Source organism: Homo sapiens, chromosome 11, assembly GCF_000001405.40.
Source record: "Homo sapiens chromosome 11, GRCh38.p14 Primary Assembly".
NCBI lineage: Eukaryota > Metazoa > Chordata > Mammalia > Primates > Hominidae > Homo > Homo sapiens.
The window spans coordinates 83,028,154-83,045,252 of NC_000011.10; the positions used below are offsets into that span (position 1 = coordinate 83,028,154).

Below are 17,099 nucleotides of genomic sequence, written 5' to 3' on the forward strand. Positions count from 1 at the left end.
AACAAAAATAGGATGCTATATAAAGGAAACATAGAGAACAAAAAGAGCTCTTAGACATTGACAACATAATAGCAGACTTTTTTTAAATCTTCAATAAAAGGATTGAATGATAAAATCGAAATCTTCTAAAGAATAAAATCAAAAGACAAAGATATGGAAACAGCAGAGAGAAGTTAAGAATATTCTAAAGGTCCAGTACAGGAGGGGTCCTATATCCAAATAAGAGAAATTCCCAGGAAAGAGCAGAAAAAAGAAAAATCATAACAATATATTCAATAAAATTTCAGAGAACTGAAGGATGCAGGTTGCCAGGTTGAAAGGGCCCAGCACACGAAGCACACTGTGAAACTTCAGAAAACTGCAGACAAAGAGAAGATTTTACAAACTGTCAGAGAGGAGGGAAAGACAAATAGGTTATATATAAAGAATCAGAAATCAGAACCCTTCCAACTTCTCTACAGCAACAATAAAAAGACAATAAAGCAATGCCTTTAAAATCTGAAGGAAAATGATTTTCAACTTAGAGTGCAATACCCAAATAAACTACCAATAAAGCACGAGAATAGAAGAAAGATACTTTAAAGTATACAAGACCCAGAAATTCATATTCCATGCACCGTTTTATAAGAAGCTCCTACTTTGGGAGGCTAAGACAGCAAGATTGCTTAAGCGCAGCAGTTTGGGAGCAGCCTGACCAACATGGCGAGACCCTATCTCCACAAAAAGTGAAAAAGTTAGCCAGGCATGGTGGCATGCACCTGTGGTCCCAGGTACTTGAGAGGATCACTTGAGCCCAAGAGTTCGAGGCTACAATGAGCTGTTTCACTTCACTGCACTCCAGCCTGGGCAACTGAGTGAGACCCTTTCTCAAAAACAAACAAAAAAAAGCTCCTGGAGGATGTCCTTCACTAAGTGGTATAAAAGAAACATCAAGAGATCTAGTCCAAAGACAAGCAACAGAGGACGCCAACATGACTACCACAGGAAGTAGCCAACCAGAATAAAGAAGTATAACTCAAGAGACAGACACATTGAAGACAGCCATCACCAACAACCCCACTGCCATTAAACCCTCTTTTGTGTTGTGTTCAAATATTTTAAATATATGATTATAAAGTTTTCAAATATACATAAAAGCAGACCCCCCAACACCCATTACCAAAGTTCAACACTTACCAAGATTTTGACACGTTAACTTAATCTATCCCTTTCCCCCCCTATTTTTTTCTTTGCTTAAATATTTTATTATTATTATTATTATTATTTTGAGACAGGGTCTCGCTCTGTTGCCCAGGCTGGAGTGCAGTGGTGTCATCATGGCTCACTGCAGCCTCAACCTCTGGGATGCAGCAAACCACCTGCCTCAGTCTCCCAAAGTGCTGGGATTACAGGTATGAACCTTAGCATCCAGGCTGTTTAAATATTTTTAAACAAATTCTACATCATATCATTTTATTCCTATGTACCTCAGAACTCATCTCTATATTATTCATCTTCTTACATTATACTATTATTATCACACCTGAATAAAAGTAACAGTAATTCCTTGATATCATCTCAAAAATTTCTTTTTACACACATCTACATGCATACTTGTAGCAGCACAATTCACAATTGCAAAGATATGGAACCGACCTAAGTGCCCATCAACCAATGAGTGGATAAAGAAAATGTGGTATATATCCACCATAGAATACTACTCAGCCATAAAAAGGAATAGAATAATGTCTTTTGCAGCAACTTGGATTGAGCTGGAAGCCATTATTCTAAGTGAAGTAACTCAGGAATGGAAAACCAGATACCTTGTTTTCTTACTTAAGTGGGAACTAAGCTGTGAGGACACAAAAACAATACAGAGCAATATAATGAAATTTGTGACCTGGGGAAGGAGTGGGCAAGGGGAGTGAGGGATAAAAGACTACATACTGAGTAGGGTGTACACTGTTTGGTTGACAGGTGCACTAAAATCTCAGAATTCACCACTGTAGAATTTATCCATGTAACCAAAAACCACTTATAACCCAAAAGCCATTTAAAAAAATTTTTTTAATGTCTTTTCAATGCCAGGTGTGGTGGCTCATGCTTATAATCCCAGCATTTTGGGAGGCCAAAGCAGGAGGATCGCTTGAGACCAGGAGTTCAAGAGCAGCCTGGGTAACATGGTGAGACCGCATCTCTTCAAAAAAAAAAAAAAATTAGTTGGGTGTGGTGGTATATGCCTGTAGTCCCAGCTTCTTGGGAGCCTGAGGTGGGAGGACTGCTTGATCTCAGGAGGTCAAGGCTATGTTGAGCCGTGTTCATGCCACTGTACTCCAGCCTGAGAAACAAAGCAAGACCCTGTCTCAAAAAAAAGTCTTTTTTTGGCTGCGTGTGGTAGCTCACCCCTATAATCCCAGCACTTTAGGAGGCCGAAGTGGGCAGAACACCTGAGGCTAGGAGTTCGAAACTAGCCTGGCCAACATGGTGAAACCCCATCTCCACTAAAAAACAAAAGTTAGCTAGGCATGGTGGCACGCACCTGTAATCCCAGCTACTCAGGAGGCTGAGGCAGGAGAATTGCTTGAACCCGGGAGGCAGAGGTTGCAGTGAGCTGAGATCGTGCCATTGCACTTCAGCCTGGGCAACACAGCAAGACTCCACCTCAAAAAAAAAAAAAAAGTCTCTTTGCAATTAAACTAAATTATGTCCCCCCACAAGTTCATACATATGTTGAAGCCCTAATTCCCAGTACCTTAGAATGTGACTGTTCATGTATTTGGAGATAGAGCCATTAAAGAGGTAATTAAGTTAAAATGAGATTGTTAGGGTGGGCCCTAATCCAATCTAACTGGTGTCCTTATAGAAAGAGGAGAATAGGACACGTAGCAGGACACTGGGAGTGTGCATATATAGAGAAATGACCATGCAAGGAGGTGGAAAGAGGGCAGCCATCTGCAAGCCAAGGAGAGAGGCCTCAGAGGAAACCAATCCTGCCAGCACCTTGATCTTGGACTCCTAGCCTCCAGAACTGTGAAAATACTAATTTCTGTTGCTTAAGCCACCCAGTGTGTGGTATTTTGTTATGGCAGGCCTAGCAAACTAACACATAGACTATCCGAATAAAAACAAGGTTCACACATGACATCTGGTTATAATTCTTAAGTCACTTTATTATTTTTTTCATGTCATTGACTTGTTGCGGAAGCCAAGTCAGTTGTCTGACAGAATGTTCTACATTCTAAATTTCTCTGTTTGTTTCCTTAGAGTGTAATTCCACTTGTCATCCTTTCCCCCATCTTTCCAATATATTAAAGTTAGCTCTAGAGACTTGATGAGATTTTAGGAGTCAACATTTGGGTAAGAATATTCCGTAAGTGGTTCTGCGTATTCTTTTTTTTTCTTTTTTTTTTTTGAGATGGAGTTTTGCTCTTCTTGGCCAGGCTGGAGTGCAATGGTGCAATCTCGGCACACCGCAACCTCCGTTTCCCGGGTTCAAGCGATTCTCCTGCCTCAGCCTCCAGAGTAGCTGGGATTATAGGCATGTGCCATCATACCTGGCTAATTTTGTATTTTTAGGAGAGATGGGGTTTCTCCATGTTGGTCAGACTGGTCTCGAACTCCCAACTTCAGGTGATCCGCCTGCCTTGGCCTCCCAAAGTGCTGGGATTACAAGTGTGAGCCACCAGGCCTGGCCTGCATATTCTCTTTTTAACCTGACAAAAAATGCATAGGTAAACTTAGTCGAGGTTCTTTTCTGCCTCTATTTGTCTTGACCATGTGCTGATGAAGCACCTGCTCATCTCCACACTATTTGTTTGGGTTAGTTGGTGACGTTCACTTCATCCTACAGAAGAGTTTTGCTTTGACCTACCCCTTGAGAGCTGAAAGGACGCCAAAGAAAGACTGGAAGTAGAAAAGACAGAGCCGTCCACTCTTTGTGACCATATTCCATATGTCCAGTGTGTGCCCACACTACAACCCTATCAGATGTCTCAATAGTAGTGATCCTTATTTCCTAGGACTCACTCACATCCTTGCCCACTGACTTCCCCATTAGAGCCTTTTAAACCCCCTGGGAATCTAAAGCTATATTATGACCCAGAGTTTAGATCTAACAGTAACAAAGCTTGCTAGGTTTGTGCTTGCTTCTTGGTTTTTTAAAAAACAACATTTGTTTTAGTAATACAAACACAGGTGGTTAAACTGTACAGAAAAGTAAGAGAACGATGAACACAAAAGTCAGGATAATCATTATGTCTGGTGAGGAGGAAAGGGGGTATGATTTCAGGGCAGAGAGTAGACAAACAGCTTCTAGGATACAAATAATGTTCCATCTGATAAATTGGATGGCAAATTCACAATTTTCTTTCTTTTATTTTTTGAGACAGCATCTCACTATTTTGCCCAGGCTGGTCTTGAACTCCTGGCCTCAAGAAATCCTCCAACCTCAGCCACCTGAGTAGCTGGAATTGCAAACATGTGCTACTGCATCTGGTCACAATTTTTATGTTCTTCTTTAAACTGTAAATATGTATTTAAAACATTCTTTCATATGCATTGTATGTTTCGCATTAATTATTTTTATGTAAGCAGTCCACCATAGCTAGAACACAGGGTTTGAAGAGTAGAGTAAAAGGAGAAAAGAATGGAAAAAGAGTGTACTCTAAAGGTAAATAGGAACCTTAATCATGCTCTCTTGGGAGTAACATCAGGGAACATTTATACCCAATATTAATTAAAATGACTTTCTCATAATCTATCTATCAAGAATGATAGGAAAAATCCATTTTTTCTAAGTTACCTAGATATGAAATACCCGACATCTTAAGCATCTCACTGGGGAACATAATAATATGGTTTTGATGTATTTTTCCAGGGAGAGGAGTTTCAGCTTGCCCTAGGGAACATGTTTGCCTCAAATTCTTTTTTTTTTTTTTTTTTTTTTTTTTTGAGACAGAGTCTTGCTCTGTCACTCAGGCTGGAATGCAACGGCATGACCTCAGCTCACTACAACCTCTGCTTTCCGGGTTCAAGTGATTCTCCTGCCTCAGCCTCCGGAGTAGCTAGGATTACAGGCACATGCTACCACACCCAGCTAATTTTTGTATTTTTAGTAGAGACGGGGGTTTCACCATGTTGGTCAGGCTGGTCTCGAACTCCTGACCTCAGGTGATCTGCTCACCTTGGCTTCCCAAAGTGCTGGGATTACAGGTGTCAGCCACTGAGCCCGGCCTGCCTCAAGTTCTTAAATGACACAAAGCTGGGAGGGATGTGGAACAAATGTTTTATATTACAGAATTAAAATATATCTTGGCAAGCTAGAGTGACAGGTCAAATTTAGGCCAATTTCTAATAACATCTCCCATTTGTTGAGAACACTCGATATGCCAAGAGCTTTACATAATTTATCTCACTTAATCCCTACAACCACACTGTGAAGCTGAAATCCAGGAAAGTAACTTGCCCAAGGTCATAAGGCAAGTTAATAACAGAGTTATGATTTGAACCTAGGTTTGCAGGCTCAAGTTTCAGTCTCAAGTGAGATTCCTTCAGCCACCAGAAATTAACATTCAAAACTGAATCCTCTGCTACCACACTGGGAATTAAGAAAACAATAATAAATAAATAAAAATCTCAATCCTCTTTAATTCAGCATGTCACCCTCAGAAAACTGCATCACCCAACCTCAAGCCCCTTGGGCATATGAGGGTATCAAGTACCTCCAAAGAATGATCAGATCAAATGAAAAAAAAACCAAACAAACAAAAACAAAAAAGAATAATCAGATCAGGCCATTTTCATTAATGTAACACTTGGGGACCTCGACAGCTGCCAGGAAACCTCCATCTGTCCTCAAGAGCAAGTCCATCCTCAAAAGCAAGCTGTAACAGGATTCTCTCTGCAACCCATTCCCAGCTCAGCCATGTCTGCCTCCCCATCTGTATTTAAGACTGCAAAACTCAAGCTCTGCAGTTATAAACGGAGGCCACTTACCACAAAGATTGCTGAGCAAGAGCCCTCAGCCAGGCTATTGCCTACCTTCAATTTTCTCTCGTCCTCAGGGGCACTGTGATTTGATGGGTGTGTACAGCTGAGAGAACAGCACAACCGGCTCCAGTGCACAGTCATATCCAATGGAGCTATCCCAAAAGACAGCCAGAGAATTTTAATGAAAACCAGAAAACCCCTGGCTGCTAAGTCCAACTGCGGTTCAGGCCTGCCAGCCCCTCCCCCTGCAGCTAAGAATCTCTGAGCCAGCTTTGCCCCAAAGAGCAGGGAAGAAAATCCATTTTGCACTCAGTAAATCCTTCCATAGCAGCCACTTCGCAGAGTCATTTAGGTTAAAGGTGAGGCATATGATAACTGCAACAGGACCCAGGGACCCTGAGAGGCACAGGGTGTGGCAGCAGCAGATTTGAGCCAACAGATTATGAAACAGTCATTTAAAAAAAAACAAAAAGTCTTTCCTTCTGCCAAAGCTCTCTGCCCACAGCTGCATACAAGGCTAGTGAGGAATCTTAACAAGCTTAAAGGGGCCGTATTTCAGATACTCCAGAACCAAGGTGGGAGGAAATAAGTATTTTGAGCACTTACTATGTATCAGGTGCTCTGATCTCATTTCATCCTCACTGTGAGATGGGAACTGTAAACTGCAGGTAACAGATAAGAACATTGACTCAGAGAGGTTCCATAACTTGTCCAAGGAACACAGTTAGCAAGAGGGGAAGCAAGACTGAAAGTTCAGTGTGGGTGAGGCTCATCAGAAGTATCAAACTTTTTGTTCACAGAGAGCAGAAAAAAATAAAAAGAAAAGAAAGGAAAAGAAATACTAAACTCAAAATCCTGACTAATAAAAAGAATGATCATTTATTGACCACTGGCTATGTGCCAGGCACTAAGCTAATATTTTTACATGCACCGTATCATCTAATCCTCACAGCAACTAGATAAGATACAGGTCATTATTACCTCCATTTAATAATGAGCAAACTATGGCTCAGACATTCAATAATTTGATCAAGGTCACTGCATCACCAGGATTGGAACCCAGGTCTACCTAATTCTAGAGTGCTCACCTTAAAACACTCATCCTAACAGCATTCAGAAGGGAGCCACCTAGATCATCATGCCAAGCACGCAAGTTGCAGCAAGATTTCTGCTCCCCTCCCCAGCAGGTAATGCATATTCCAGACTTGCCTTTCAATTCCTCCCAGCAATCTTCAGTGGAGGCACAGTATCACTGGCTCTGGGGAAGGTGATAGCTATGTCTCTACCTTCCCATGCACCATGGACTCAGTTGTCCCGACATGAGTGAAGGAGAAGGCCACCACCATGATCCAGAGACTCACATGAGTATAGAAGCAGACAGCTTCTTTCCCCAGGCCCTGCTCCATAGGCCCATGCAACCTCAAGCAGCAACCTCTTCCTCAACAGCTCACAGGCCTGTTTTGTATTCTTAACAGGAGACCACGTGCCTCCTTTTTAAGCAACTGTGATTTCCCAAGGGAGATGACTGTCTAGACACAGCATCTATCTTGACAACCAGACTGGGCCACACGATGTTAGGTTTGATAATTTAATTTTAGGGTCTGTGTTCAGCTCTCCAGTGAAGGCTCTGTGCTTGGCACCCCTGGGTAATCAGATCGAGTATCACTCAGTGCAACAGCTGACACCCTGGGTTAGAACTGTCTTTCCAGCCAGGCAAGTGTTACTTGCGGGAAGTCACAGGCATCTTATGGATCACACACACACAGGCACAACACACAAACAGTTCCATTAATGAGGCTGAAACTTGATAGAACTCTTCTATGCATGTTCAGAATTAAGTGCCAGGCTTTGACTGGTGGTGGACTGAATACTTAATATGTATCAGGTACTGTGGTGGGTACATTCACAGCCAATATCTTAACTGACCCGCACAACATTCTGTAAGGTAGATAGAACTGCTATTATACAGATGAGGCAACTAAAGCCCAGAAAGATAGCATAATTTGCCCAAAGTCACACAGGAAGTGGCAAAGCTCAGGTTCAAATTCTTTTTTTTTTTTTTTTGAGATGGAGTCTCACTCCACCTCCCAGGCTGGAGTGCAGTGGCACGATCTTGGCTCACTGCAACCTCCACCTCCCAGGTTCACACAATTCTCCTGCTTCAGCCTCCACAGTAGTTGGGAATACAGGCAGGCACCACCATGCCCAGCTAATTTTTGTATTTTTAATGGAGACAAGGTTTTATTATGTTGGCCAGAGCTGGTCTCGAACTCCTGACCTCAAGTGATCTTCCTGCCTCGGCCTCCCAAAGTGCTGGGATTACAGGCATGAGCCACCAGGCCTGGCCTCAAATTCATTTTTAATACAACTTCAACACCCTTTCAGTCAATTATGAGTCCATTCATTTATTCCTCAGATAGTTATTGAGCACTTTCTATGAGCCAGCTACTGTGACACCTACAGAGGATACAACTGTTAACATAAGGTAGGTCCAGTTACCAAAGAACTACTGTTCTCATGAGGATAGATGACAATGCAGATAGATAATTACAGAATGATGAGATGAGGCCTCAGAGGACTGATGGGATCAGGCCTCTCTGAGAAAGTGAGATGTGAGCTGAGACCTGAAAGATGAGAATAAGCCAGGCATTTGCAAAGCTAGGAAAAGAGCGCAGGCAATAGATACAAGAAGTGCAAGGGTTAGCTACCAGAAAAGGCTTGGCGTGTCCAAGGAACATAAAGGAGAACAGGGACCAAGGCTGGGTGAGCAACAGGGAAAAAAGAACGGTTGAGATGACACAGGGCCTCGTTGACCATGGAAAACACTTTGAATTTTGTCCAAAGGGCAATGGGAGATCAAAGAAGAGTTTTAATCAGGGAAATAGTGTAATCTGACTTGCGCTTTAAAGAGATAATTCTGGTTGCTGTGTGGAGAAGTGAGTGTAGGGAGTGGGCAAGACTTAAGAATAGGGGAGAGATAATGGTGGCCTGGACCAAGATAATGGTAGGGGAGAGGATTTTATATTTGGGAATAACAAAGAAAATACTTGAGGTGATACTAAGTGTTTTTTTAAAAAATAAATAAATAAAAACTTTGAAATTTAATTACAATTTTAAAAAATAAAAAGACAAACGAATTTTTTTTTTGAGACAAAGTCTTATTCTGTCACCCAGGCTGGACTACAGTGGTGTGATCTCGGCTCACTGCAACCTCTGCCTCCAGGGTTCAAGCAATTCTCCTGCCTCAGCCTCCCTAGTAGCTGGGATTACAGGCGCCCACCACCATGCCTGGCTAATTTTTGTATTTTTAGTAGAGACAGGGTTTCGCCATGTTGGCCGGACTGGTCTTGAACTCCTGACCTCACGTGATCCACTCACCTCGGCCTCCCAAAGTGCTGGGATTACAGGTGTGAGCCACTGGACCCAGCCGAATGAATTTTTTAAAAAATAATGAAAATACTTGCTGATGAATGGTATGTGAATGGTGAAGGGAACAAACTCCTGGGTTTCTAGCTTGAACAACTGGGTAGAGAGTGGTACCACGTATTAAGAGAGACTGGAGGAGAAGCAAAATGCTCGTGAGATAGCCAACTATATCACACTAAGAAGAAAAAAAAAGTGGACCCCAGTTGTGTTTGTTCAAGGGGAAGCTAGGAATTAAAGGCCTGAAGCTGCTACTCTGGTGAAGATAAAGTGTTTGGGGGTTATGATAGAGAGTAAAGTGCAAGAATCTGAAAGGATGCCTTAGGAAACAGGGGTTCCACTTACTTCATGTGGCCATCACTGCCAAACTGGGACCAACGTGCGGAAGACAGACAGGAAAGGAATTCAGTCTGACATAAGGAAGGCTGTCTCGTGGTCAGAGTGAAATAAGCTGCCTTGGGAGTGGGAGAGGGTGAATGATGACTTCTCTGTCATTGGAAGGGTTAAAGAAAAAAACAGATGACTCCTTGACTGGAGGGTTAGAGAGAGAATTCAGTAATTGAATAGGGAAAATGCTACATAAAATCCTTCTAAACTCTGGAATTCTGTGGTTTTAAGATAAAATCTTAATTAATCTAACCTTCAGGACTGGAGTTTCTCCAACAGGGCAGAACTCCCTTGGTATGTCCTACCTCTCAGAAGGCAAATGAGATCAACGTTAGCTAATTTTAGTCACTATAAAGTGACTCCTAGTTCATTTCTAAGTGTCAAACAAGATGCTGAAAGGCTTTTTGGTGTAGGTGAAAGGCATATGCTATGGAACTGGATATCCCATATCTGCAATTGATTAGCGCTGTGTCCTCTGGCAAATTATTTAAATCCTCTGAATCTCAGTTTATTTCTTTGAAATAGGGGGAAAGCAATGCCTACCTCAAGATGTTTACTGTGAGGACCAAAGCCTTATGCCTGATACATTCTATTAAGAAAAATAATGAGGCTGGGTGCAGTGGCGCACACCTGTAATCCCAGCACTTTGGGAGGCCAAGGCAGGCAGATCACCTGAGGTCGGGAGATCAAGACCAGCCTGGCCAACACGGTGAAACCCTGTCTCTACTAAAAATACAAAAATTAGCCAGGCATGGTGGTGGGCGCCTATAATCCCAGCTACTTGAGAGGCTAAGGCAGGAGAATCACTTGAACCTGGGAGGCAGAGTTTGCAGTGAGCCAAGATCGCACCACTGCATTCCAGCCTGGGAGACAAGAGAGAAACTCCATCTCAAAAAAAATAAAAAAAAAAAAGAAGAAGAAGAAAAATAGCTAACATCTATTACTACAGATCCATAACTATATGCTAGGCATGTGCTATGTGCATTTAAAAAAATCCAATCCTTACAACAACCCAGAAAGTAGCCACTATTGTTATTCCATTGTAAAAATCAGAAAATTGATTTCTAAAGGTAAAGTAACTTATCCAAGAGTCATATAATTAGTAATTGCACAAATTAGGAAAAAACAAACTTCGACAAAGTTGAAAGAAAAAGACAAAGAAAACCATATTTAGATAATTTGAAAGAAAGTTACCTACTGTTGAATTAACAAACAATTCATTTTACCAACTAGTCATTTAGTAAATATTTATTGAATATATAAATAAATAACTGAATGAATGAATGATTCCAATGAATATTTCTTGAGTTCCTGCTAGGCACATCATCAAGAAGCTAGGGTTACAGAAAATGTCCATCAATTTAATTGAGAGTTTGCCATTAACACCACAATCTTCAAACTCCAAATAAACTGCCAACATAACAACACTTAGTCCATGATAAAAAGTCCTAAGAAATGCCATTCTCAGCTAAGCGCAGTGGCTCCTGACTATAGTCCCAGCACATTGGGATGCCAAGGCAGGCAGATAACTTGAGCTCAGGAGTTTGAGACCAGCCTGGGCAACATGGCAAAACTCCATCTCTTCAAAAAATACAAAAATTAGTCGGCTGTGGTGGCGTGTGTCTGTGTTCCCAGCTACTTGGGAGGCTGAGGTGGGAGGATCACTTGAGCCTGGAATGTTGAGGCTTCAGCTAGCCGAGATCACGCCACTGTACTCCAGCCTGGGGAAGTCAAAATTCTTGGGGAAGTCAAAACTCTTAGAGGAGAGCTCTGAGCAGTAGGCAGATAACCAAGAGCACACAACAATGGAAGCTGAGAAAGGAGGCGGTCTCAAAGAAAAGATGAGTAAGACTTCCACAGGAAGCAGAAATCAAAAAGAAAAAAGGCTGAAAAAATGGCCGACTTAATAAGTAGGAGTTTGTCAATGGACTTCTCTGGAACTGTGGGGAAAGAAACCAAGTTTCAAAGGGCAACTGGATGAATGGGTTAAAGAGGAAGAGGAGGCAGTCTTTTAAAAAGTTTGGCAGTAAAAGGAGGGAAAGGGTAAGAAAAGTAAGTAGTCTGATGAGGAGAAGCAGCAAGACTGTTAATAAGAGTATAAGGTGAGGAGCAGGAGCCAAAAGAAAAGGAAAAGTTGAAGACAGAAGATACATGGAGAAGATGTAAGAAAGAAACAGGAGGACCAGACTCCAGCACGTCAAGAGGGAATAGGATACAACACACAAGTGAAAGGCTACCCTTGGGAAATAAGTCACCTTCTGCTCTAAGACAGAAATGAAAGAAAAGAGATTTTGACAAATGGACATGGTGAAAAGTTACTCTGAATCAACCTTGAATACAGTACAGAGAGTGATCACATTGAATAACACTATTTTGGGCTGGGTGCAGTGGCTCGGGCCTGTAATCCCAGCACTTTGGGAGGCCGAGTTGGGTGGATCACCTGATGAGGTCAGGAGTTCGAGACTAGCCTGACCAACATGGAGAAAGCCCATCTCTACTAAAAATACAAAATTAGCTGGGTGTGGCGGTGGACACCTGTAATTCCAGCTACTCAGGAGGCTGAGGCAGGAGAATTGCTTGAACCTGGGAGGCGGAGGTTGCAGTGAGCCGAGAGTGTGCCATTGGCACTCCAGCCTGGGCAACAAGAGCGAAACTCTGTCTCAAAAAAAAAAAAAAAAAATTGAATAACACTATTTTGAACTTAAAATAATATTGATTTTCTTGGATCACTCCTAACTTGGCATTGAAAAGGACAACCACCATTTGGATGTAAGTTCTATACAGTTAAAAATCAGAATCTTCTTTTTCTGGACAGGAAGTAGGATTTATTGGTGGGCATTAGGAGGGAGCAGCACAGTGGAAGCCTTCGTGAATGCAGGGCCTGCCACTTGCCCAGACTGGAGATGTATTTGACCCCACAGCCATCTGGGATGAGCCACTTCTCATACCAGAGCCACCACGTCTTCAAATTCATCTGCACTGGCTGGGCACGGTGGCTCACACCTGTAATCCCAGTACTTTGGGAGGCCAAAGTGGGCAAATGACTTGACGCCAGGAGTTTGAGACGACCCTGGCCAGCATGGTGAAACCGCATCTCTACCAAAAAAATACAAAAATTAGCTGGGCGTGGTTGCATGTGCCTGTAGTCCCAGCTACTCAGGAGGCTGAGGCAGGAGTATTGCTTGAACCCAGGAGGTGGAGGTTGCAGTGAGCTGAGATCACACCACTGTACTCCAGCCTGGGAGACAGAGTGAAACTCTGTCTCAAAAAAAAAAAAATCATCTGCATCGAACTTTGAAACGCCCCACTTCTTTCAGATGTGGATCTTCTGGTGACCAGGGAACTTGAACTTGGCCCTGTGGAGGGCCTCAATCACATGCTCCTGGTTCTATAGCTTGATGTGGATAGACAAGACAACTTGGCCAGTATGAACCCTGATCAAGGCTCCTTGAGGCTTTCCAAAGGCACCTCCACTGTCTGGAGCCTACACTGGGGACAGTACAAGGTCAGAGACATAAACATATATTAGAAAGGGCTGTCTCCAAGGTCCTTTAGAGCAACCCATACAAGAAACAGGCTGCATACACTACCAAGGAAGCTGCTGTTTGCAGCTATTGAACACCAGGCCCCAAAGAGGAAAGGAACTAGGTCGGCTTAATTGGTTGCAGAAAAATCAGTCTTACTGAGATGTTGGTTACGTTCTGTTTCTTAATCTGGATACTGGTTACCCTGATGTGTTCAGTTTGTGAACTTTATTAAGCTAAAAAAAAAAAAAGTTTTTATAAACTTTTTAACTTTAAAACTTTTTTTAAAAAGTTTTTAACCTAGGCCATGTGCAGTGGCTCATGCCTATAATCCCAGCACTTTAGGAGGCTGAGCTGGGTAGATTTCACTTGAGGCTAGAAGTGTGAGACCAGCCTGGCCAACATGGTGAAACACTGTCTCTAGTAAAAATACAAAAATTAGACAGGTGTGGTGGCACATGCCTGTAATCTCAGCTACTCAGGAGGCTGAGGCAGGAGAATCGCTTGAACCCGGGAGGTGGAGGTTGCAGTGACCACTGCACTCCAGCCTGGGCAACAGAGTGAGACTCTGTCTCAAAAAAAAAAAAAAAAAAATTAGTTTTTAACTTAGAATCACCACTCCTCTACTATTTGTTCAGTTTTTAAAGAGTAACTCAAGAAAACTATATATTCCTTCAGGCAGGGAACACGCCTTACCATTCTTTTAGATCCCCATAGCACTAAATCAGACTAGATATACAATAGGTATCTAATGAATATATGTTGATGTGATTGGAAGGATGCTAACACCAAATGTCGAGACTTAAAACAAATCTAGGCCAGTTGCAGTGGCTCATGCCTGTAATCCTAGCACTTTGGGAGGCCAAGGTGGGTGGATTGCCTGAGCTCAGGAGTTCAAGACCAGCCTGGGCAATACGGTGAAACCCCATCTCTACTAAAAAAAATACAAAAAATTAGCTGGGTGTGGCGGCACACACCTGTAATCCTAGCTACTCGGGAGGCTGAGGCAGAATTGTTTGAACCCAGGAGGCAGAGGTTGCAGTGAGCCAAGATGCACCACTGCACTCCAGCCTGGGCAACAGAGCGAGACTCCATCTCCAAAAAAAACAAAAACAAAAAAACCCACAAATCTTTCTCTAGGAAATGGCAACTTCATGACTACAAAATCTGGCAGCCCCCACTTTAGGCAGTGATTCCACTTAGCATCACTAATGATCTGGACAAACTAAAATTATGTGCCTCCTTTTGTGATGATATGGGAAATATACAACCTCAGCTTTAGAATTCTTGCCCAAAATATTTAACCTGTATATAATCATGTAGAAATAATTATACAAATTCAGATTGTGAGATATTGTTAAGAAAACAGATCTGGAATCTTAAAAATATCATAAAACACAAATAAGCAGGGAGACTCCTATAGATTTAGAGACTAAAGAGGTAAAACAACTACATTTAATGTGTAATCTTGTTTGGATCCTGGATTAAAAACGAACCAACAGTTATAATGATTAACATTACAACATTAACATTATTATTAACGGTATTTGGACAATATGGGTATGATAGATTGCAAAAATGGCTGTGATTGTTCATGCCCCTGTATCCATGCCCTTGAGCAATATGACTTTGCAGTTATTCCCATCAAGAGGAGCATGTGACTTGCTTTGACCAAAAGATTGCAGAAGTGATGCTGTGCCAATTCCAAGCCTAGGCCTTAAAAGGCTTTGCACTCTTCCACTCTCTTAGAACCTTCCCATAAGCCATGGAAACAAGCCTGTTCTAGCCTGTTCTAGACCCCTCTAGAGCAAAGAAAAGCCATCCAAACTGAGGCCGACTTAGACCAGCCAGCTCCTAGTCAGTCCAGCAGCTGACTCCAGAGGTATAAAGGAGCCCAGTTGATCAGCTGAGCCTAATCCACATTAGAAGAACCACCCAACTGGCCCGTGGAATTATGAGCACTAATAAACTGTGGTGGTTTTAAGCCACTAAGTTTTGACATGATTTGTTTATCAGCTAGCTGATCAAAGGCAAAATTTAAATGTGGACTCTATTAGATGACATAATGGAATCAATATTAAATTTCTAAGGCATGATAATGGTATTGTGAAGAAGAATATCCCCCTTACACTTAGGAGAATACTGATATATTTAGAGATAAAGGATCATGATGTCTGCCCTACCCCCTAGTGTAAATATGCATTTATAAAGAAAGATAAATCACATGTGGCAAAATGTTAGCAATTGGTAAACCTAAGTAAAGGGTTTTTTGGTTGTCCTTTGTATTAATATGTTTGTTTTAAATTTTTCAAAATAAAAAATTAGATAGAAAAAAAACCACACACCTCTATTTACCCCATAACACAGCAAGTTACCGTGCAGTGAACAGATCCTTTCCATCTCCCACCCCCTGACCCTTTTTACTGGAGGAAACACTACTACTGCTGAGTGGGGAGGGAAGTAGATATAAAGTGCAGTAAACCAGGGTTATATTATGATATAGTTAAATGAAAGACTCATTAATAGTTAAGAAATGTTTAAAGGTAGATGTTAACAGCAAGCAGCCATTAAGGTTTTCTTCCTAATATAATCAGAAGAAAAATTTGTGTAGGGTTGGATGGGACTTGAAAAGAACAAAGCTTTGGCAAGAAACGTGGGCAGGTCTTTGAATTATTTTTTGTTGGAAAACAAATATTCCTGTGTTTCTCTATTTTAAGAGATTTCTCAAACACCTGCAAATGAGAAGGGTATCTTGTATTCATCTCTACCCCCTGAAAATCCCTAAAGAATCTTACCAATATAACCAAAATCTGTTTATTCACAACCTAATGAAAGCCTTCTTTATTTAATTTGGATTTTCCCTCAAGGGATATGCAGCAATTATTAACGCTGTATATTGACTTATGTGAACAAACCCAGAGGCCTAGGTTCAAAGGATATGGCTTTCTGAACTAAAATCTAAGGACTTCAGCTTTATTATGCCATATAGAAAAATTCCACTTAGAGTGAATGGCAAACAAAGCCCATTCTCTATATAAAAAACAGTAATCCAGGTAGGAAGATTTTTTTTTTAGAAATATCACTACAAGTCTGTTCAAAGATCTTTGAACTTCGAAAAAGTCCAGAGCAATCCCATGTATTACCATTGTCAGATGAGAAAAACATTCAACTTATATAAGAAAGAGAAGAAAATATTGCCAGGTACTCTACATTTAATGAGTTGGTTGTTCTCGTTCATCAGAACTGAAAAATAAATGCAGCAAAGAATTTGTTTTAGGCATCATTGGGCTCAAAGCCAAATCCACCCCTCATTTTTCTTACAGAATTCCTTGATTTTTTAGCCCACAAACCCCAGGATGCTTCAGAATATAGTTTGAAACTATAGCTTTAAATTAAAATGGCTGTGCAAAAGGCAGGTACCACATACAGAGAGAATCTTCCAGTTATCTCTACAAACTTCATCAGATTCAGAGAAACCAAGCAGGCTATCAGGTCTTCAAGGAATCTTTGATGTTCAAAGAGAATTTTACTGTATACATTAATTCTCAAAAATGTTCAGGGGCACTGTAAAAACAACTGCAGGGCAATAGGCTTTCCTAGCCGAAATCTGCACATTAGCCTATCTCATGAAAGGACTAGCCGTCAGCAGACCTAGACATGGTCTAACACAGACACTGAACTCCCATTGACTCATCACCGGAAGTGTCAACTGTTTAAAGAAGGGTGGATTACTCATTTATTCATTTATTCTGTAAACATTTTTTTTTATAGAGACGAGGTCTCCCTTTGTCACCCAGC

The 17,099-nt window shown here is 41.6% G+C and overlaps 1 protein-coding gene and 1 non-coding gene across 5 annotated transcripts in view; both read right to left on the reverse strand.

The window, feature by feature from the left end:
* Positions 1 to 17,099, reverse strand: part of RAB30 (RAB30, member RAS oncogene family) — a 98,765-nt gene that overhangs the window by 55,021 nt on the left and 26,645 nt on the right. Inside the window, exon 2 of one of the 4 annotated variants that reach the window (NM_014488.5) lies at positions 6,019 to 6,119. The exons of 2 other annotated variants lie outside the window; for them this stretch is intronic. The gene's annotated coding sequence lies outside the window, so the exon portion shown is untranslated. Of the gene's footprint in view, positions 1 to 6,018; positions 6,122 to 17,099 lie in introns of those variants that run through there. One more of the 4 variants, NM_001286059.2, reaches the window with a different exon arrangement.
* On the reverse strand, positions 13,311 to 13,445 carry SNORA70E (small nucleolar RNA, H/ACA box 70E). Its single transcript, NR_033347.1, has one exon. It is a non-coding gene; the product is annotated as a small nucleolar RNA, H/ACA box 70E (small nucleolar RNA).